This window comes from Homo sapiens, chromosome 1 (genome assembly GCF_000001405.40).
Source record: "Homo sapiens chromosome 1, GRCh38.p14 Primary Assembly".
In the NCBI taxonomy this organism is placed as follows: Eukaryota; Metazoa; Chordata; class Mammalia; order Primates; family Hominidae; genus Homo; species Homo sapiens.
The window spans coordinates 113,867,136-113,888,815 of NC_000001.11; the positions used below are offsets into that span (position 1 = coordinate 113,867,136).

General features: G+C 40.3%; 2 protein-coding genes and 1 long non-coding RNA gene across 15 annotated transcripts in view, besides 2 other annotated features; 1 reads left to right on the forward strand and 2 right to left on the reverse strand.

Annotated features, from left to right (window-relative positions):
• PTPN22 (protein tyrosine phosphatase non-receptor type 22) overlaps positions 1 to 4,624 on the reverse strand; it is a 57,949-nt gene extending 53,325 nt beyond the window's left edge. For 8 of the 12 annotated variants that reach the window (XM_047417630.1, XM_047417631.1, XM_011541225.3 and 5 more), the window contains exon 1: positions 4,402 to 4,624. In XM_047417630.1, the coding sequence (XP_047273586.1) occupies positions 4,402 to 4,488 (87 nt within the window). In that variant the 5' untranslated portion in view covers positions 4,489 to 4,624. The remainder of the gene's footprint in view (positions 1 to 4,401) is intronic. The other 4 variants (NM_001308297.2, NM_012411.6, NM_001193431.3 and 1 more) reach the window with 1 other exon arrangement.
• AP4B1-AS1 (AP4B1 antisense RNA 1) overlaps positions 1 to 21,680 on the forward strand; it is an 88,626-nt gene that overhangs the window by 54,524 nt on the left and 12,422 nt on the right. The gene's annotated exons all lie outside the window — the stretch shown is intronic.
• Positions 3,715 to 3,764: an enhancer, noted in NCBI's record as "active region_1537". NCBI's record gives its function as "activates an Ori minimal core promoter by ATAC-STARR-seq in GM12878 lymphoblastoid cells {active_cell/tissue: GM12878}" and the evidence as "EXISTENCE:reporter gene assay evidence [ECO:0000049][PMID:35858748]".
• Positions 4,323 to 4,582: an enhancer, noted in NCBI's record as "active region_1538". NCBI's record gives its function as "activates an Ori minimal core promoter by ATAC-STARR-seq in GM12878 lymphoblastoid cells {active_cell/tissue: GM12878}" and the evidence as "EXISTENCE:reporter gene assay evidence [ECO:0000049][PMID:35858748]".
• Positions 9,681 to 20,446, reverse strand: BCL2L15 (BCL2 like 15). Its single transcript, NM_001010922.3, has 4 exons — positions 20,114 to 20,446; positions 19,402 to 19,523; positions 14,638 to 14,862; positions 9,681 to 14,005 (listed from the first exon to the last, which is right to left on the reverse strand). Exons 1-4 carry the CDS (start codon positions 20,238 to 20,240, stop codon positions 13,988 to 13,990), a joined length of 492 nt encoding a protein of 163 aa, NP_001010922.1. The 5' UTR covers positions 20,241 to 20,446; the 3' UTR covers positions 9,681 to 13,987.

Below are 21,680 nucleotides of genomic sequence, written 5' to 3' on the forward strand. Positions count from 1 at the left end.
CAATAATAAGGAACGTTTGAAAATACCTTTAGAAATTTCAACAGTATAGTTGCATCCTGCTGTTTCTGCTGTGTAGAAACTATACTAACTATGTCCTTACCCTAAAACTTACCCTAAAACTAGGTCCTTTGAGAGACTCAGTGTCATTGGATGAAGTAGAACACTATTGGATAAGGATTAATGTTACAGCTCTGTAATAAGACAGATCTGAGTTAAATTTCATCTCTATGGCTGAACAGCTGAGTGAGCTTAGGCCAATTATTTAACTTCTCAGAGCTTCAGTTTCCTCATTTGTAAGTCAGAAATGACATTTGTAGCTATTTCACAGGGTTTTCTTAAGGAGTAGTAAATAAGAAAATGAATGTTGATGTTTCCTTGACCACCTCACCCAGACTATCACAATTATATTAAATATTTAATATAGCAATTAGTTGTTTAATGTCTGCCTCTCTAAGACATATCTATTGCCTTATAACATAAGCTCCACTAAAGCATGGAGCATTGCATTGCATTCCTAGCATCTAGGGCATTACTTTGCACACAATAAGCACTCAATGAATGTTTATATGAATGTATAAAAACCTTAGATGGGTGGTCAGTGGTAGTTTCAACTACAGAAAAGTTACTGAATTTAGTCCTGGCACAGGGAAAAGACATAAGCAGCATGGCACTGGCTTCAGCTGCCATTAACAGGACTGCCACATCCAATTATGAATACAGTCCTCTCACAGTATCTGTGGGGGACTGGTTCCAGGACCACCCCCTTCAATTACCAAAATCTGTGGATGCTCAAGTCCCTCATATAAAATGGCATAGTATTTACACATACTATACATGACCTCTTGTATATTTTAAATCATCTCTACATTACTTATAATACCTAATACAATGTAAATGCTAGATAAATTGTTGTTATGCTTTATATTTTTTATTTTTTGTTGTTGTGTTATTTTTGGTATTTTTTTCAAATATTTTTGATCCATAGTTGGTTGAATCCAAGGATGTAGAACTTGGGGATACAGACAGCCATCTGTATTGTTCTCTGTACAAAGATGTATGGCCAAGAAGGAAGTGGAGACTGAAATCTGAACCATGGACCTGGGGAGAGGGTAAAGGGGTTAGGATGCTCAGGGAATCTACCTGGAAATAGAGATGCCTTTTGATAATTCCCTTAAAGTTACCACCAGTTAAGTGAACAGTGGCCTTGTGTCACAGAATGAGTCCTCAAACCTCGGAAACATAAAATCCTGGGAGAATACATTAAGGGCTTAAGATGGGACACAGAACATGACCAGATGGAAAGCCCTCTGATTTAGTGGCAGTATTTACCTTGTCCAAGCAAGCAGTCTAGCCTCATTCACTACTCCTCTACTCCCCCAAAGCTCTCTATCTGGTGTCTCATCTGAAACCTTTAGATGGAGCTGAGAGGAAGACTCTATTTTTCCACTGGAGGACATGAGTCAGTGAACAGTGAGGTTACACTTAATCACTACCCAAAAACAAGGTCCTTAAAATCAGGAGCTAGAAAAGCAAGGAAGTGATTAATATAAAAGTCAGGATAGTGATTATCCCTTGGCCAGGGTAGGACAGGACAGGGGCAGATGGGTGTAGGGGACCTGATGGGGCATGGGTCTTCGGGGGTCTGACAGTTTCTTGACTTGGGTAGTGGTTGCACTGCTAATGGTTGCTTTATAATTATACTTAAATGTTTTATGTACTTTTCTAAATGTGTATTATATTGCACAATATTAAGCAGCTAAAAAAAACTATAACAAGTTTTTAAGCAGGGAAAAAATGACCAGATTTGGCTGGGCGTGGTGGCTCATGCCTATAATCCTAGTACTTTGGGAGGCTGAGGCGAGTGGATTACCTGGTTGGACAGACCAGCCTGGCCAACATGGTGGAACCTTGTCTCTACTAAAAATACAAAATTAGCCAGGCGTGGTGGCTCATGCCTGTAATCCCAGCTACTTGGGAGGCTGAGGCAGGAAAATCGCTTGAACCAGGGAGGTGGAGGCTGCAGTGAGCCGAGATGGTGTCATTGCATTCCAGCCTGGGTGACAAGAGCAAAACTTTGTCGCCCCCAAAAAAAAGACCAGATTTGTATGATTAAAAGATCACTTGGGTGTTGAACTGAAAATTGACTGAAGGTGGGGCAAGGCTAGAGGCAGAGAAGCCAGTTAGGAGGTAGCTGCTATATTTTGGTGAGAAATTATAATGACTTTAGCTGAGAAAAGGTAAAATATTAGGGATATAGTCTACATTTTTTTTTTTTTGAGACAGAAGTTCGCTCTTGTTGTCCAGGCTGGAGTGCAACAGCTCTATCTCAGTTCACTGCAACCTCTGCCTCCCGAGTTTAAGCGATTCTCCTGTGTCAACCTCTTGAGTAGCTAGGATTACAGGTGCCTGCCACCACGCCCAGCTAATTTTTGTATTTTTAGTAGAAATGGGGTTTCATTATGTTGGCCAGGATGGTCTCAAACTCCTGACCTCAGGTGATCCACCCGCCTCGGCCTCCCAAAGTGCTGGGTTTACAGGTGTGAGCCACTGCCCCCGGCCAGTCTACATTATTTTAAAAAACACAACCAAAATAAAACAGAGGCCGGCACTGCCCCTCAGCTCACTTTTTACATCTATGCCTTGGGTTACCTTGGCTTAGGAATTATAGTCCAGGGGCAGGGACATGTATACACATGTGCTAGAACTTCCTACTTATCTCCTTTCAGGTAACTCTACCAGAGGGGCTCAGACTGATCAGCCAGTGGCAGTGAGAGCACATTTTTCATAGTACCACAAGATTATCCATGTTGAGCTGACATCGGAGTTCCTATCATAATATCTAATCACTCAATAATATCTAATTACTCAAGACTTTCAGAGTGTTTTCACATCTGCTATCCGGTACCAGAGTGTTAGCTCCAGGAGGCAAAGGTTTTGGTTCTTTTTGTTCACCGCTGTATTTTTAGTGCTTAGAACTGAACTTGGTACATACTAAGTGCTCAATAAATGGTACTCAATAAATGACCACATTTAATGATTGTTATTGATATTTAATCATCACAACAATCCTGTGAGGATAGGTAGGACATGTATTATTATCCCCATTTTATAAGTTAGAAAACAGAGAGATTTAAGAACATGTCAAATACTTCATAATTTGGTGAAAAAAAATCATGATTTAATTTCAGGTTTGTACTTCAGTTCCCCTCTTTCCACCCATTTCTTCACAACTGAAGAGCTAAGGTTTAAAATTCTTATATCTCTGAAACGCCAGCTGTAAGCATTCTAAAATACATGATAGGTACTATTAGACACCCTATGTTATCTGATATCTCAGCTTGTAGGGTGAATGAGGCCTACCCAGCTGCCATTGCATCAATAATCACAGTTCTCTCAAAGGAGATTCACTGTTCTTCTGGGTAATCTAATCCACCCAACCTGAAGCTACCTTGTACTCATGTTTCTCTCCTTGACCTACACTTGTCTCTACTCTCCATCCTAGCCATTCCACTTCTCCAAGCAAAAGAAGTTAAGGAAGCCCTGTTATTGAAAAAACACATGTTATAATATATTTTTCATATGAAAAAGAAAAGAAAAATGATGGCCAGACATAGTGGTTCATGCCTGTAATCCCAGCACTTTGGGAGGCAAGATGGGAGGATTGCTTGAAGCCAGGAGTTCGAGACAAGCCTGGGCAAAAAAGCAAGGCTCGTATCTACAAAAAAGAAAAAAACAATTTTTTTTTAAATTAGCCAGGCATGGCGATACACACCTGTGGCCCCAGCTACTCAGGAGGCTGAGGCAAGAGAATCACTTGAGGCCAGGAGTTCAAGGCTACAGTGAGCTGTGGTTGCACTGCTGCACTCCAGCCTGGGTGACAGAGTAAGATTCTGAATCTTAAAAAAACAAACAACAACAACAAAAAAAACTGTGGCAGTGGGTAGTTTTGGTGCTCTTCAAAAACCTTTGTCAACCAAATAGAATCCCAGAGGGGAGGCTAAAAATGTAATATTGCATGAAAAGTTAACATTGGTCTCTTTCTTCTTAATATTAATTAAAATTAGTAATATAAAGCATAAACCACAACTTAGATACCTGGGGAAATCTGGATGTTCAATTAATATTAGTGTTTTTACATCTGGAGTTGTATATGTCTTCTGTAGGATTCCTAACCAAACTCCAAAGAACTAGCAAACAAAATATTAAAACCAGTAATTTTGAGAGAATACCTGAAATACATGCAAACCACTCAGAGAAGTCAAACTTTTTTTTTTCTGTCTTCCCCGCCAAGGTCTCATATTTACTTTATCCCAAGAGCAATTTGGTCTCGGAAAATTGGACCCCCATAGTCAGTTAAATAGTGTATGTAACTACCCTGAGAGGGTCACATACAGGACTCACCAGAAATTCATTGGCAAACTCCTCTTTAGTAATTTTCTTGCTTTGGGCCTCATCCAGGAACTTCTGCAGAATTTCTCTTTGGTCCATGCTGCAGAGCAAGAAAAATAGTCTATAAGTAGGTTGAGGGAGGGCATGTCAAATGTGTGTCATGGCCGAGACACCTCCAAAAAGCCACTGCTGCCGCCTGAGCAGAGCATGCTGAAGGCTGTGGTTTACTGACTTCATCACAAGCCCTAGAGGAAATTAGTACGTAACCACCTTCTGTGGTCACATAACACAGCCATCATCTCACTCCAGGGCCCTAGTGCCTTCCTTCTCAGCAAAGGAACCTGGTTACAATTCAAATTTTTAACAAACAAGAGGCTAACTAGAACGTAAAGTGTGGTCTGCTTAACTGAGATTATTCCATTCCATCACCCATATGCAAAACTCACCTTTCTTCTTGCCTCCCAGAGAAAGAACAGAATTACAGGTCTCCTGAATGAGTTCTGTCTCTCCCCATTTTCCCAGTGAGCACAAGGGCCAAGTTGACACCTTCTGTTTCCTTATGTCCCAAATGAACTCTGCAAAGTTCAGTTAGGCCCAGGAAAGAAGACAGACACTGTTTAGAGTGAGTGACATGTCTTCTACCCGGACTGTTCATCGAAAGGTTTCTTGTCAGTGTGATCAATGAGAAACTTCTGTTCATCACAGAAGGTATTTTTATTCATAACTTTTAAGTCTGCTATATATACCTCAAACTCCCTTTTGAATGAAGCAAAGTCAGATGCTTCTGACAGTCTGTGTCTCTCCCAGGACTGGGGAAGTGCTGACCTCCATTAAGGGAAGTGTTGATTTCAGCACCTCTTCAACCCTCCCAGTAACCTTTGAAGCTTCACTTGGGTTCTGGATATAAAGACTAAGAGTGTTGGTCTATATAGGATCTAGAGCAAGTGGCCCCCACAAGGAGCACCTGACCAGACAGTTAGCTCAATACCCTGCATATGTAATGCTGGTAAACTGTGATGGAACAAAAAGAAAGTAAAATCAACCACCTTGCTGACAACATTGTAACTTTTAGGGCAGAAAGCCTGAAGAACTGTTTCTAAAGAACACATTTCTACTCTGCAACCAATGTCTTAGGAAATAAATTTGTTTCAGGAAGTTATGCTGTGCCTGTGGCATTTTGGCCCTGAAAGGCAGGCTCTTCTAGAAAAACTTTCCACATTTGAGCTTGCATAACCTCTCAATGGGTACAAGTCTACCCAAGTGCCTAATTCAGTGTGAGAACATCCAAAAATCAGTATATCATCTTTATTGAAGGCAGAAGTTCAACAAATGTTAACAAAATTAGTCTTGATCCTGAAGAAAACTGGGAAATGTGTTGTTAGGACTTCCTCTATTTAAGATATTAGCAATCCTTTCTGTTTTGCAACATTATTCAAACTTCCTTCAGGATATCATGATTCTGAACACTGCTTAATCTGAACATTAAAGATACTGCATGCTCTTTACTAAGTACTGCAAAAAAAAAAGAAAGATCATCGAGATATCTTGGTTATAGACAACTTAAAGACAATATTTCAAATTAAGAAACTCAATCCCAGTATACATAAATTAAAATAAACCCTCATTCTTCAGCAATATTTGTTAGGAATAGTATATTTCTTAAATTATCCCCATCTAGAATTAAGAGAGAATTTCTTGCTGCTCTAAGTAACGTGATGTTTACTTTGGCTATTTTAAAACATAAAATATGGGAAATCTTTGATTTATAAAAATACAAAATTTCAAGTTTGTAATAACTAAAACCATGTAAAAGTGTGTACATAGTTAAAGACTAAAAGAAGCAAAAAAGAATCAATTGTGTAAGTTTGCTTTCTAAAATTATCATAATTTTAGAATTATGATAAAGTTTGCTTTCTAAAATTATCATACCGTTTTTAAAATTAGAAATAAACATTTAAAAATCCATTAAGTTGTTCAACAAATTTATTGAGTACCCACTAAATTCTAAACATTGTCTTAGGAGATTGGCATACAACACTGAGAAAGCCAGAATATGGTAAAAACAAAACAAAACAAAACAAAAACATCCTTAGCCAGTTAATAAAGCAACTCAGAACTAAAGATACAGACATGATTACTGATAAAAATTAAAACACTCCTTAGGTAACTTTGGGAAAGAAAATAAAAATAAAAACATTCCAAACTAACTTGCTTAATTGCAGAGTAGCAAAGCATAATCCTAAAAGGAAAATGATTTTCTATGTTTGGACAAAGAAGATAATATAGTTTTATAATTTCTCTGTACCCTTAGAATGTCCTCAATTACACAAAACTAGAACTTTATTAATTTTTATTAATTGATGAGGCAAACCTGCCTAATAAAATTTAAATCTATTTTTCTCAAGCCTATATTTCAGCACAATCTCTTACTAACTTTCTTGTTTCTTCTTAATGAGGGAGAAGACAGAAATAAATAGGAGATAACAAAAAAAATTTTGCTTAGATGCCTCCATAGTCCCTTTCCTCAAAATCTAAGAATCTGTAAATAGTGTCTTGGCAGAACTTCACACTTTTTTAAAAAAGCAAGCAGCAATCTATTCTACTGTAAACCCAAAAGGTATAGAGACATTGTGAAATAACCAAACCCCCAAAACCCACTTAGCTACAAGGCCATTTCCTGAGCAGACCACTCAAGCAAGCAAAAAACAAACTGAAGAAGAAAACAAAAAACTTTAATTATTTTTTTTGTTTTGGGTTTTTTTGTTTGTTTGTTTGTTTTGTTTTGAGACAGGGTCTTGCTATGTTACCCAGACTAGTCTGGAACTCCTGGGCTCAAGTGATCCTTCCACTTCAGACTTCCAAGTAGCTGGAGCTATTATTTTTTTTTTAAAAAAATAAGCTACTACTTAATTTATCACACTTCCTTCTACAGAGCACAATGCTTTTTGATGAAGATTGTGTTGACTCATTTGTATCTTGCGGGAAGATAAAGAGCTGGGGAGGGGAAACAAGACATGCAGTAAAGGTTGGCAAATACCTAAAAGAGTTTCAGAATTTATGATGAATCATTTAAACCAGTCTGGCATAAAACCTAAGTGAACACAATTCCATGCAATAAAAAAAGACTCACAAACATTTTGCCAGAACCATCAAGTAAATTGTGGGAAGTAAATTGTGGATAAGCACCTGAAGAGGAGTGACAAGGCCACATCTCACTGCTGCCTCATGTGGCTGTAGTGCTTGGTCAGAAGGAAGAACACAACAGAGAAGAGTGCTGGTCACCATGTCACCTGTTCCAAGAAGAGGGGAGTATGCTAGTTTAAGGGGAAATATCAGTATCACAGAGGTCAGGAATTAGATTACAATAAACATTAATTGAGGAGAATTTCAGGGAAGACTACAAGGGTAAGATAAACTATTCAATAGGAAAAACATTCAGGATTCTCAGAACATCCTTCTGTCTTTTAGATGAGGGGGAGACATGTTTTACCCTGGAGAAGATACTTACCCAACCTTAGCTTTAGTTTCACTACTCTTGCCTTTCCCTACATTCCAGGGTCATTGATTTGATATGGGATATATATACTGTCTGTGAAACATTCAGTCCTTTGTAAGCATTCTTTTGATCACCAAGGCCTATTGGAAATTTCTCCTCAATGTCTTTTAGATTCAACCTGTCTTTTCCATTCCCACTTAGCCCCATTCCCACTTTCACACCCGGATTCCTATAGCAATAAACTTAGAGTATCTTCCTATCTATATGTTTCCATTCTAGTATCTCCTGTTAACCAAGGCTGGATGAAAGTTCTTAAAACTGCACTTTAATGCTAAAGAATCAGAATAGTTATTGATGATCTACGGGAACAAGTCCAGATTCCTTAGCTTGTCACCAAGCCCCTCCCTGTCAACTATCCCCACCCAACCTATCCAAGCACATCACCTACAGACCTCGTTCGTTCTACTACCACTTTTTTCTACTTCTCACCTTTACCCCTAAGTTTCACCACAATGAAAATAAAACCATAAAGCTCAATTTTTCTTCAAAAATCTTGCCCCTAACTCTGTTTCGCCATGATCTTCCCTTAGTCTGAATCTCTTCAATATAAATCTGTATATTCAGCTATAGAAGTTTTCATTTATTCAATTTCCTTGTCTCCTATAAGTTTATTTAAGAGTTTATTCAAAAGATGTCCCCTGTATTTTCAGATTTATCAAAGGCAATGATAGTGTATTCTATGCGTTTGTATAACCCACAGTGCTTAACATGGTCTTGAGTATACCTAAAAATAAGTCTGTTGTGATAAAGTAGCTAATGTGGTTACGCTTTGGTGAGGGATCTACTCTCACTTGGTTACTCATTATATCAATTACTCCAAGTCTCTTGTCTGGCACAGTCTGTGCTTCTTGTCTCTAGCTAGGCACTTTCATTATGCCAGGAGCAGATGGGCCTTCCTACATGGAGGCACAGGAACCTGGCAAAGGGTACTTTCCTGAATGCTGCTGCCCAAGCAGCAGGGCTATTATTATGAAAGGAATGGTGTCAATACTGAGCTTCAGAGTCCATCTCTGAAGAACTGCAATGGCCAGAAATAAATGACCTCCTTTATCTCTAGAGTAGGCTTGTTTTTCCTTTTATAAATGAACACAGAAGAGGCTTATAAAATACCTTTAACGAAGCTTGTTTGATTTTCTCATGTTTTCACATCATCCCGGGTAGGAAAAGTCCCCCTACCCATCTTTCAATCTACTGCTTGTCACTACAGCATTCTGAGACTTCACTAAGTCCTTCAGTTCACCTGCTGCAGACTTCATAGTCAACCTCCCACTACACAGGGAAGCATACTCTGCCTTTGGTTTCAAAATCCTCAAGAAGCAAAGGTCAACCAATAACTTGCAATTGAAGTTTTTTTTTTTTTTTTGGAGACAGAGTTTTGCTGTTGTCACCCAGGCTGGTGTGCAATGGTGCTATCTCGGCTCACTGCAACCTCCGCCTCCTGGGTTCAAGCAATTCTTCTGCGTCAGCCTCCTGAGTGGCTGGGATGACAGGCATGTGCCACCACGCCCAGCTAATTTTTGTATTATTAGTAGAGATGGGGTTTCACCATGTTGGCCAAGCTGGTCTTGAACTCCTGACCTCAGGTGATCCACCCGCCTTGGCCTCCCAAAAGTGCTGAGATTACAGGCGTGAGCCACCGAGCCCAGCCTGAAGCATTTTTTTTTTAAAATAAAGAGCATCAGGACTCTTAAAGCTTAGCATCCTTTTCAAATATAATCAAACTTGAAGTCTCATCTGAGTCAATCAGCTATTCATTCATTTAATGAATATTTTTAATATCGATGTACATGCCAGATAATGAAGAGGAGGGGTGTTACAGAAGTATACAACAAATTGTATCATTCAGCAATCCTTTATCCTAGTGGGGAAGATGACTATACAGATAATTACAACTTAAGGCCATTTTTTGGATAAGAAACATAAAAGTGGTACAAACAAAAGTTCAAGGAGGCAAAGACCACTTCTTATTCTGGTTATATGGATAGCCTTCATGGAGAAGGCTTCATGACAGTTGGGTTGGGTCTTGAAGATGTCTACAGGTAGAGCCTCAGAAAAAGGAATATGAAACATAGGGAACAGTAGGAGGAGGGCAGCTTTAGTGACTGGCTCGGTTATACTAGAGCATTGGGATTGTAGAGGAGAATCATGATTGATTAAGGCTATATAGGGCAGTTAGGGCCAGATACTGGGGGAATTTGAATATCAGACTGTTATTTGATGAACAGTAGGGAGCAGCTGAAGGTTTTTTTTTTTTTTTTAAAAAAAACAACCTTATTAAGGTAGTGCTGATGTACAATAAACTACACATTTCAAAGTATGCAGTTTGATAAGTTGGTGTGAAATCATCACCCATAAAATCACTACAATCAAGATAATGAACATGTCTAATCACACTCAAAAGTTCCACTGAAGGACTTTAAGAGAATGGCATTCAAAGCAATGCTTTTGGAAAGTTATTTCTTGATTTAAAAAATAAATGCCCCCTTCTGATAAGATGTTTAAGTCTTGTAATCTTCATTGGTATGTTAAATTTAAAAATGAATGATACCATATCTAAAAATGAATCAAAATAATAGACAAAGAAACCACAGCTTTGATCAATCTGATGGCAGTATATAGGACAGACTGGAATGGAGCAGGAACAGAACAATCTATTGAAAGCCTAAGTAGGAGGCTTTATTAATAGTCCAGGCAGTTGCTAATAAATCTGGTAGAAGAACCAGGACAAAAATGAAGTAACAAATGAGAAAAACTAGTTGGGTGAGTTGGACTGGAGAGAGAGAGACAAGGTAAAAATGACTGAGGTTTTGAGCTAGTTGTATCGCAAACAGGGAGAGTATGGGGATAAGAAAGGTACACATAAATAAATAATAAGCATCTGTGGGTATGGAATTGAGAAGGGAAATAAATCATATTTAGGAATCACTCACATTGATGTGAAAGTAAAGCCATTAAGAGTGGTTTGCATCTGTGAGAGACAGGGTTAATGGAGAGAGAAAAAAGTCAAGCTAGAACCTTATGAACTGCATAACACAGAATTCCAAATTGCTAATGGCACAGTGTTTAAAATATTCCAAGTACTCACCCTTTACAAAATGTATTTGTTTTATTTATCTCTCACAAAAATCTTATTAATAAGTTACCAAATCATCTCTATTTTACAAATGTAGAAACTAAGGTACAGAAGAATTATGTCTCTTGCCCAATGTCACATAATTAGCCTATGGTGAAACTAAAGTGTTAAAATCAGGCAATCTGAATCCATTTTTAATTCCTGGGTTACAATGTCTTCTTCCTGCAGCCCAATCACTTAAGCTCTCCTAAGATAGAGTCTCTTAAAATACACAACACCTAGGCCAGAGCTGCTTAACGCATTTGCCTAGTATAATCCCCGTGGGCACCATATCTTCAAATCTCAAGATAATGCAGTATACTTGGAACTGTTTTATGAGCAACATAGGATAAAACTGGGAGCTGGAATTATTCAATTTAGATTGAATTTGCTGAAACTTAGTTCAAATGCATAGACAGAAGTTTATTTCATAAAACAGAATAGCAACAAAGTAAAAATTTTGATTTTGCCTATGAAGTCAAATACCACAAAACTCATCATCTTGAGTTTATAGTAACATAAGGGACAAAGGAGTACAAGTTTCTTAACTGGTAGCCAAAAATATAATTTCTACTAAAGAGAAACAGGACACATCATTTATGGATTACTAACTTGTTGTGATTTAACTAGGAATAGAGGAAAAAGCATAACTTTATTTATTTTCTTTTTTTTTTTTTAGACAGTTTCGCTTTTGTAGCCCAGGCTGGAGTGCAATGGCGCGAACTCAGCTCACAGCAACCTCCGCCTCCCAGGTTCAAGTGATTCTCCTGCCTCAGCCTCCTGAGTAGCTGGCATTACAGGCACGTGCCACCAAGCCTGGCTAATTTTTTGTATTTTTAGCAGAGACAGGGTTTCACCATGTTGGCCAGGCTGGTCTCAAACTCCTAACCTCAGGTGATCCACCCGCCTTGGCCTCCCAAAGTGCTGGGATTACAGGCATGAGCCACTGCGCCAGGACAAAGCATAACTTTAAAAAGCAAAAATGTATTAACAGCACTACATATTTACTTCTCTGCATTTAGAGGAGATACATAGATGGCTGGCTGATAGAGGGGAAGTGGTTAGCTTTGTTAAACTTTAGCCAAAGTTATTAATGCTGCTTTTCATGAATCACTGTAGCAATGCCTTTCTTCTTGATATTTAGGAAAGTAGTCTGGTTTTTGGAGTCTCTACCTGATGACTGCCTACTAATCTATTAGATCATTAAGGACTATTTTGAGATACAAGATCATACAAATCATAAGCTTTGCTTCCAATCACTCTCACTTGTAGGGCCAGAGAAATGGACTACTCAGGAGCTACAGAGCTCTCTGATTGGCTGAAGACCCAGAGAAACTGTGGATTATGCAAGAACTAACAAACATATGGAGACTAAGTTCCCAAAGAAGAGTTAAATATCTTTGAGTTTAAACCCTATCTACAGCTGTGTTTGCTGGAATTGTCAGGACTGTAATAGAGTTTCAGTTACCAAGGAGAAATGTTGATTTAGAGAAGGGGTCAGCCAACTTTTTCTGTAAAGGGCCAGCTAGTAAATATTTTGGACTTAACCAGCCATATGGTCTTCTATAATCATTCAACTCTGCCATTGTAGCACAAAAGCGGCCATGGACAATATGTAAACAAGTGAATGTTGCTCTATTCCAATAAAACTTTATTTACAAAATAAGACAGCAAGCCAGATTTGACGCGTGGGTTGTAATTTATCAATCTATTCTCTATAGTGATGGCTGTCACACTCTATATGTACATCAGAATCACCTATGGAACTAGTTTAAAAGGTAGGTTCCTAGGCTCCAGCCTACCCCTACAGAATCAGAATCTCTAGGAATGCGAATCAGCAATTCAATAAGGTCCACAAGTGGTGTGTGAACCACACTTTTAAAGCTTTGTGTTATGCAGCTAGCTTCATCTAAGCTGGGGTGGCCTTGCTGTCCTAGATGTGGGCCAGCACTTCCTGCATCCTGTGGCAGTAAAAATGGAGTAACTTTTATTTTCTTTGACCTTCCTAGTAGAAACAACTGTTTTTGTTTGTTTGTTTGTTTTTTGCTTCCAACCTCTAAAATGCATAAAATAGTCCTTCTCAGGTGAAATTAACATGAAGTTTAGGGATGATTTTGAATGAAAATGCTCAACTTAAAATAACAAGATTTTAGGCCGGGCGTGGTGGCTCACGCCTGTAATCCCAGCACTTTGGGAGGCCAAGGCGGGCGAATCACGAGGTCAGGAGATCCAGACCATCCTGGCTAACACGGCGAAACCTCATCTCTACTAAAAATACAAAAAATTAGCCGGGCGTGATGGCGGGCTCCTGTAGTCCCAGCTACTCAGGAGGCTGAGGCAGGAGAATGGAGTGAAACCGGGAGGTGGAGCTTGCAGTGAGCTGAGATCGCACCACTGCACTCCAGCCTGGGTGACAGAGTGAGACTACGTCTAAAAAAAAAAAAACAAGATTTTTCAACCAAAAAGCTTCCTGAAATCCTTTAAATTGCAAAATTAGTAGGCACAATTCTTACCAAAAGACAGGGCTACATCTGAAGAAATAGTTTCCATTGTTCTCCCTTTCTCTCAAAATACCTCCAGCAAAGGCCTGCCCTGTTGCTTATAATTCCACTACTAACAAGTCATTACTTTGTGTCTAGGGGTCTTTGCTTCAACAGAACCTCATTAAAACTCATGTGAAAACAGAAAGTAGAAAATCTCTGTGGTTTGCATTAAGTTGACAAAACAAAACAAAACAAAAACCAACTCTGCAGGCCTCTGGCAGCTGCTCCCAACTTTAACAATCAGTAAAAAATAACTTATTCAGCTAAGTTCAGTTCTGATAAAATGAAAAAAGTGCTTTTTTATTTGTTTGTTTGAATTCCCAGGAATCAATCACCCAATCAGTCAACAAGGAAGTGATGTTCAGTCTCGTGAATAGCTCCAACTCTTCAGCTCTCCAGATTTTCCTAGGGAAGACAGAGAAAATCCTACAGTCAAAGGAATTGCTTTCAGGAACTTCCTAAGAAACCAGGAAATGATCTGCAGATAGCTCCAGGAAATGTAGCTCTTATTAAGGCTTTCACTGACCCTGTAAATGGAAAGGAGTGCTCTATGACAGCATAAGTTCTGATGATTACTAAAACATGGGCTTAGAATACCTTATATAGTTACCACTACAGCAAAGACTGTTTTTTCTTAGATACTATTAAGGTGATTCTGACTTCCCTAACACACACATAGAGAAGTTAGGAAAAAAAGACCCAGAAATTTACAAAGGAACGGAGTGAAGCCAGGCTGAAATTAGAACTCTATCATGAATATACTTTATAGATGATTATGTGTAGGAAATGAAGATTAGCTTTACAGTAGTCAGCAGTCAATATTTAAGGTAGCATGACTCGAGTCCAACATCCACAGGCTGAGCTTCTGTCTGCTCCATTTTTCCATGGCAAGAAAATCTAGGCATTTTCAGCAAAATAGGGAAGCCTGTTTTCCTGTTGGTTTCCAATTTACAAAAAGGGTCATGAATTGGAATCCCAGGTATTAGTACAAAAACAGTGCAAATACCTAGCAAAACCAGGAGCCCCAACAAACTTACCCAACCTCCCTGGCCCTGGATGAACTCCCGGATGGCTTGGTTCCCATTGATCATACCCGTCATGGGGATAGCCACCTGTCCCACTACTTCAGGAGCAATGTGAGCCATGTACTCAAGAAGTTTCACTGACACTGCCAGAAAAGCTCTCTCATAAGCTAAGCTGGAATCCTGAGCACACCAGGTCTTGCTGAGAGATTCCACAGTGTCCTGGAGTATAGCTCCTGTCTGAGGAAAGACAAAGGAAACATCAACAGAGTATCACTCAAAAAGTGCAGGAGGCTGCAGGTGCAGGAATCCAGTAAAGCAATTGTTTCTTAGAGTGCCAAATGTGCAACTGGTGGTAACTAAGGAAATCTTAGAGAGTAGATGAATAATCTTTTCTCATTTTAATATTTTGTTATCTTAATGGGCACTTGAAAATACATAAGTAGTCCATCAAACCCATGACTTCAGGTATTATTGCTTAGGTTAAACAAAATGAATGAAAAATGATTTGAAAGAAAAATATTAAGTATGTGATAGTCCAGCTGGTTAAATTGTAAAGGTATTGCTTGAATGACTAGGAAATGTCTGGGAGACTCTAAAGTAAAGGCCGGGGGCAGTGGCTCATGCCTGTAATCCCAGCACTTTGGGAGGCTGAGACTGGGAGATCACCTGAGGTCAGGAGTTCAAGACCAGCCTGGCCAACATGCTGAAACCCTGTCTCTACTAAAAATACAAAAATTAGCCAGGCATGGTGGTACAGGCCTGTAATCCCAGCTACTCAGGAGGCTGAGGCAGCAGCATCACTTGAACCTGGGAGGCGAAGGTTGAAGTGAGCCGAGATCACGCCACTGCACTCCAGCCTGGGCGACAGAGCGAGACTCCATCTCAAATAAAAAAAAGACCGAATGCAGTGGTTCACACCCGTAATCCCAACACTTTGGGAGGCGAAAGTGGGAGGATCACATGAGGTCAGGAGTTCAAGACTAGCCTGGGCAACATATTGAGACCCTGTCTCTATGAAAAATTTTAAAAAGTAGCTAGGCATGGTAGCACATGCCTGTAGTCCCAACTACTTATGAGGCTGAGGTTGGAGGATCACTTAAGCCTATGAGATTGAGGCTAGAGTGAGCTATCATTGAGCCACTACACTCCAGCCTAGGCAACAGAGAAAGACTGTCTCAAAAATAGTAGTTAATTAGAATTAATAATAAAATAATAATAATTCATTAAAATAATTGAGTAGCTCTTCCTTTTCCTCTTTCTTTTTCAAAAATGGAATCTAAAATCCATTAGGTGGGTCCAAGCAAGATCTGTGGGGATTTAGGGGGGCCAAGGGTGGTCAGAGCTGAATATCAGAGCCCAAACAAGCTGAAAAGGACATCCATGTGGGAGAGCACCTAGATCTTGATTTCTAAATATCATTCTCCATTAAAAGAAACCAGAGGCCGGGCGCAGTGGCTCAGGCCTGTAATCCCAGTACTTTGGGAGGCCAAAGCAGGCAGATCACGAGGTCAGGAGTTCAAGACCAGTCTGGCCAACATAGTGAAACCCCGTCTCTACTAAAAATACAAAAAATTAGCTGGGTGTGGTGGTATGCACCTGTAATCCCAGCTACTCAGGAGGCTGAGGCAGGAGAATCAGGTGAACCGGGGAGGCAGAGGTTGAAGAGAGCCGAGATTGCGCCATTGCTCTCCTGCCTGGGCGACAGCGCAAGACTCCGTCTCAAAAAAAAAAAAAGGCGGGCGGTGGCTCACACCTGTAATCCTAGCACTTTGGGAGGCCAAGGTGGGCGGATTGCCTGAGCTCAGGAGTTCGCGACCAGCCTGAGCAACATGGTAAAACCCCGTCTCTACTAAAATACAAAAAAAAAAAAAAAATTAGCCAGGCGTGGCAGTGTGTGCCTGTAGTCCCAGCTACTCAGGAGGCTGAGGCAGAAGAATTGCTTGAATCCGAGAGGCAGGGGTTGCAGTGAGCGGAGATCGTGCCACTGCACTCCAGCCTGGACAACAGAGTGAGACCCCGTCTCAAAAAATAAAAGAAACCAGAGCTCTCTGGAGAATGGTTGATTTCAGTTTGGGGCTAGGGAAGTATAAGATATTCTGTCAGAAATTAAGGAAGTACTCAAATAATAATAGAGACACATCAAAGAGATGCAGTCTAGAGTGAAAGGACTCCCACTAGCTAAAACTAGGATGATTTGAGCATCTAAATTAATAATGATGTTAACAGATTATAATCCACAGAATAAAGTAGGAATTCATGGGTCCAATGCTGATAAGAAATGAATGCAATGAAATTTTGATGAGATGTGGGATATTTACATAGTTTCAAAGTACCTCTCCATAAAACACTTATTAATTACAAAGGGGAAAAGAGTAACTTTATAGAGGAGAAGCTTTACAGACACCATCTTAAGTGATTAAAGTTAACAACATCAATACTGGTATAAAATGAAATCTTGTGCCAATTGATGCAATGCACTGAGAACACAGCAATACTTCTGTGATATTCCTGCCAAAGGTATATATCCTTAATTTATTCAAGAAGAAACATCAAGCAAACCCCAGTTAAGGGACATTCAACAAGATAGACCATAGTCTTCAAGTGTCAAGGTCATGAAAATCAAGGAAAGACTAAGGAAAAATTCCAGATTGAAGGAAACTAAAGAGAAATCACAACTAAATGCAGTATGTGATTCTGGCCTACAACTTTTTACTATAAATTACATTATCGGGACAAATGGCAAAACTTGAATGAGATCTAAGGATTAGATGATAATGAATCAATGTTAATTTCCTGGTTTTGATGGTTAGATTGTGGTTACATTACAGAATGTTCTTGTTTGAGGGAAGTATAAAAGTATTAGGGGTTGATGAAATATGTCAACTCCTTACTGTCAAATGATTCAAGAGAGAAATTATTTGTACTATCCTTGCAACCTTTCCCTGAGTTTAGGGCTGTTTCAAAATATATTTTTTTTTATTAAAACAAGTTCAAGTCAAATTATTTATTTATTTATTTATGTTTTTTTTTTGGAGACAGAGTCTTGCTCTGTCGCCCAGATTGGAGTACAATGGCACCATCTCGGCTCACTGCAAACTCCCCCTCCCTGTCAAGCAATTCTCCTGTCTCAGCCTCCCAGGTAGCTAGGATTACAGTTGTGTGCCACCATGCCTGGCTAATTTTTGTATTTGTATTTATTTATTTATTTTGAGAGAGGGTCTCGCTCTGTTGCCCAGGTTGGAGTGCAGTGGCGAGATCTCAGTTCACTGCAACCTCCTTCTGCCTCCTGGGTTCAAGCAATTCTCCTACCTCAGCCTCCCGAGTAGCTGGGATTACAGGTGTGTGCCACCATGCCCAACTAATTTTTGTATTATTAGTAGAGATGGGGTTTCACTATGTTGGCCAGGCTGGTCTCAAACTCCTGGCCTCAAGCAGTCCGCCCCTCTCGGCCTCCCAAAGTGCTGGGATTACAGGCATGAGCCACAGCACCCAGCCAAAAAAAAAAATATGTTTAATGAGAAAAAAAGTCAACTCAGCTATCAACTACCTAGGACAGCCTCAGGGCAAGCAACTGGGAGTAACAGGTCCAGCTCTGCCTGAACATAGTGTAGGCACACTGCCCAAGCTGTGTATAGTAGGACGAATAAAGCATAACGGTTAAGAGGGTGGTTCTTTTTTTGAGACAGAGTCTTGCTCTGTCGCCAAGGCTGGAGAACAGTGGTGTGATCTTGGCTCGCTGCAACCTCCACCTCCCGGGTTCAAGCGATTCTCCTGCCTCAGTCTCTCAAGTAGCTGGGATTACAGGCATGGGCCATCACACCCAGCTAAGTTTTGTATTTTTGGTAGAGACAGGGATTCTCCATGTTGGCCAGGCTGGTGTTGAACTCCTCACATCAAGTGATCCGCCCGGCTAATTTTTGTATTTTTAGGTAGAGACGGGGTTTCACCATTTTGGCCATGCTGGTCTGGAACTCCTGACCTCAGGTGATCCGCCCAGATGGGCCAGGCGCGGTGGCTCACCCCTGTAGTCCCAGGTACTTGGGAGGCTGAGGCAGGAGAATTGCTTGAACCCGGTGGGTGGAGGTTGCAGTGAGCCGAGATCGCGCCACTGCACTCCAGCCTGGGTGTGACAGAGTGAGACTCCATCTCAAAAAAAAAAAGCATAGGCTGGGTGTGGTAGCTCACGCCTATAATCCCAGCACTTTGGGAGGCCGAGGTGAGTGGATCACCTGAGCTTAGGCATTCAAGACCAGCCCGGGCAACATGGCAAAAACCCATCTTTACTAAAAATAAAAAAATAAAAAAAATAGATGGGCATGGTAGCACTTGCCTGAAGTCCCAGCTACTCAGGAGGCTGCAGTGGGAGGATCGCTTGAGCCCAGGAGGTGGAGGCTGCAGTGAGCTGAGATCACACCACTGCACTTGAGCCTGGGTGACACAGTAAGACCCTGTCTGAAAAAAAAAAAAAAAAAAAAGATACTATACTTTGCCAAGAATAAAGTGTTATAAATGTGCTCTGTGCACACTAAGCACAACAGCTGTGATGAAGACCAAGTAGAGACAAACTGAAGGTTCATCAGCCTATGCCCAAAATTTTCCATCTCTGTACCACTTAGGTTTTAGCAATTGGAGAATTCTTGCTATACTTCCTTGAAATATAAGCACCCAAATATTTTCATAGAACATTCCTAGTCACTGTAGTATGGGAGTAGTAAGAAAAGGAAGTTTGAAATAGAAAAAAAAGCAGCAAACAATAGCATGAAGTAGAAACTTGACCTGTCCCTTAATGGTTTCTGCAATGACGTTTTTGGCAGAAGCTTCCAATTCTCCGTTGAACTGGTCACCCAACATCCGAAGGCGACCAGCAATGATAGCCACATCAAAAGAACAAGGCTCTCCTATGACAGAGGGAACACATTTGTTACAATGCTTGAAGCAATGGCAAGTCCCAGGAATCTGGGCAATGAGAAAAATTTGTCTTGTCTTTTAAATAATTTTCATATCATGATCTCCCAAGAGCTTAAATGTTCTGTCAACACCAATAGTCAGAAAGTTTCCCTTCATTGAGAACCTCTTTCGCTTTAGGTGTTACTGAAAGCTTAGAGTTTGCCTTTTGAAACTTAAAGGAAATAAATAAAATATACTGTTTTTTTTTTTTTGAGACCGAGTCTCTGTCGCCCAGACTGGAGTGCAGTGGCGTGATCTCAGCTCACTGCAACCTCCGCCTCCCAGGTTCAAGCAATTCTCATGCCTCAGTCTCCCATGTAGCTGGGACTGCAGGCATGAGCCACCACACCTGGCTAATTTTTCTACTTTTAGTAGAGATGGGGTTTCACCACGTTGGCCAGGCGGATCTCAAACCCCTGACTTCAGGTGATCCACCCACCTTGGCCTCCCAAAGTGCTGGGATTACGGGAATCAGTCACTGCGCCCGGCTGAAAACATACTCTTATTGACCTGCAATCACCGCCTAGGGCAGGAACCTTACCTGAATCTACTTCATCTACACAGCATAGGTTCCGGCTGGCAACCTGCAATGTTGGGCTCAAGAAGTCCATGAGTAGAGTGTTCACAATGCATTCCGTTTGTTCCTCAAAAGTTTGGGAGCTCTTCATTTTAGATGTTTGCTGTCAAGTTTTGCTTTTCCACGAAACAAGCAGTTTTCAGCCCAGCAGGAAGTTAAAAACACTGGTAAATCAACAAATGTTTCTACCTCTTGTAGTTTCCTGACATGTAATCCTGGAACTTTTCCCACTAGCTTTCTTCAAACACAGCTGCTCAGAAAGGTGGGACTTCTCAGAAGGATTACCTACTTGGAACTGGGGAGACTTTAAAGACTTTAGGTTCTCTATCTCAGACCACACCCTAACCACATAAAATTAATGCTTAACTTTTATCGTTAGGTAGCCAACCTAGAACTGAAATAGAGTTCAGGAAGAGCCTCTGGAGTAATTTTATTAAGAAATACTTCCTCGACTTCTTAGGTCCTGCACATGGTATAATTTGAAGGAAGGTTTTGAAGTTACAGTGGACCAGCGTTCAACTTCTGTTTATGGAATTTATTTGCCATAATCATATAATAATTACTTACTGAACAAGGAACTATAGTTGGCACTACAAGTAACATAGAAAAATGATACAGGCACAGTTACTGTGCTCATGAAGCTTACACTTCAGCAGAAATGACAGATATTAAATGAGTAATCGCATTGTTATTTGTGCTATTGAGATCAGTGCACTTTGATCAGTGAAGTGTAACAGGGAATCAAGCCTTTGATCAGTTTAATAGGGAAACAAACCTAGGGGACTGGGAAGGCTTCCTTAAAATAGTACCATCTGACATGAGCTCTGAGGAATAAGTAGGCATTCATTATGCAAAAAGGAGGCATAACACTATTCTAGGCGGAGAGGTAGCAGATATAAAGTCTGGGAAGGTTAAAAAAAAACAACTTGGAATTATAAATGGGGACAACAGAAAATATTTCATAGATAAATTATGAGGATTAAATAAGATAACATGCGGAATGGCCTAGCACTGTTTGGCATACAATAAATGTTAAATGTCCTCCTTTTAGCCCAAGACATAATGACCAGGAGGAAAGAGATCTGAGATTCTCTGTCTAGCAAAAGGATTTTCCTAACAGGGTTGGACTCCATCATTGTTTTAAGAGATCTCATGATTGGACACTTATCTGTAGTGGTTGCCTTCTTAACGTAGCTAAACCTAGATTTTGGGTCTGGGTCTCAGAAGCAGCCATCAAACCTATCAGCAAACTTACCACTCAACCTGTCTGACCTGGTGAAGTTATTAATATTAACAGCTCCAACTAATAAAAGAGTCAAGCATAGGCCGGGCATGGTGGCTCATACCTGTAATCCCAGCACTTTTGGGAGGCTGAGGCGGGCAGATAACCGGAGGTCAGGAGTTCACGACCAGCCTGGCCAACATGGCAAAACCCATCTCTACTAAAAAATACAAAAATGAACTGGGCGTGGTGGTGCATGCCTGTAATCCCAGCTACTAAGGAGGCTGAGGCATGAGAATCGCTTGAACC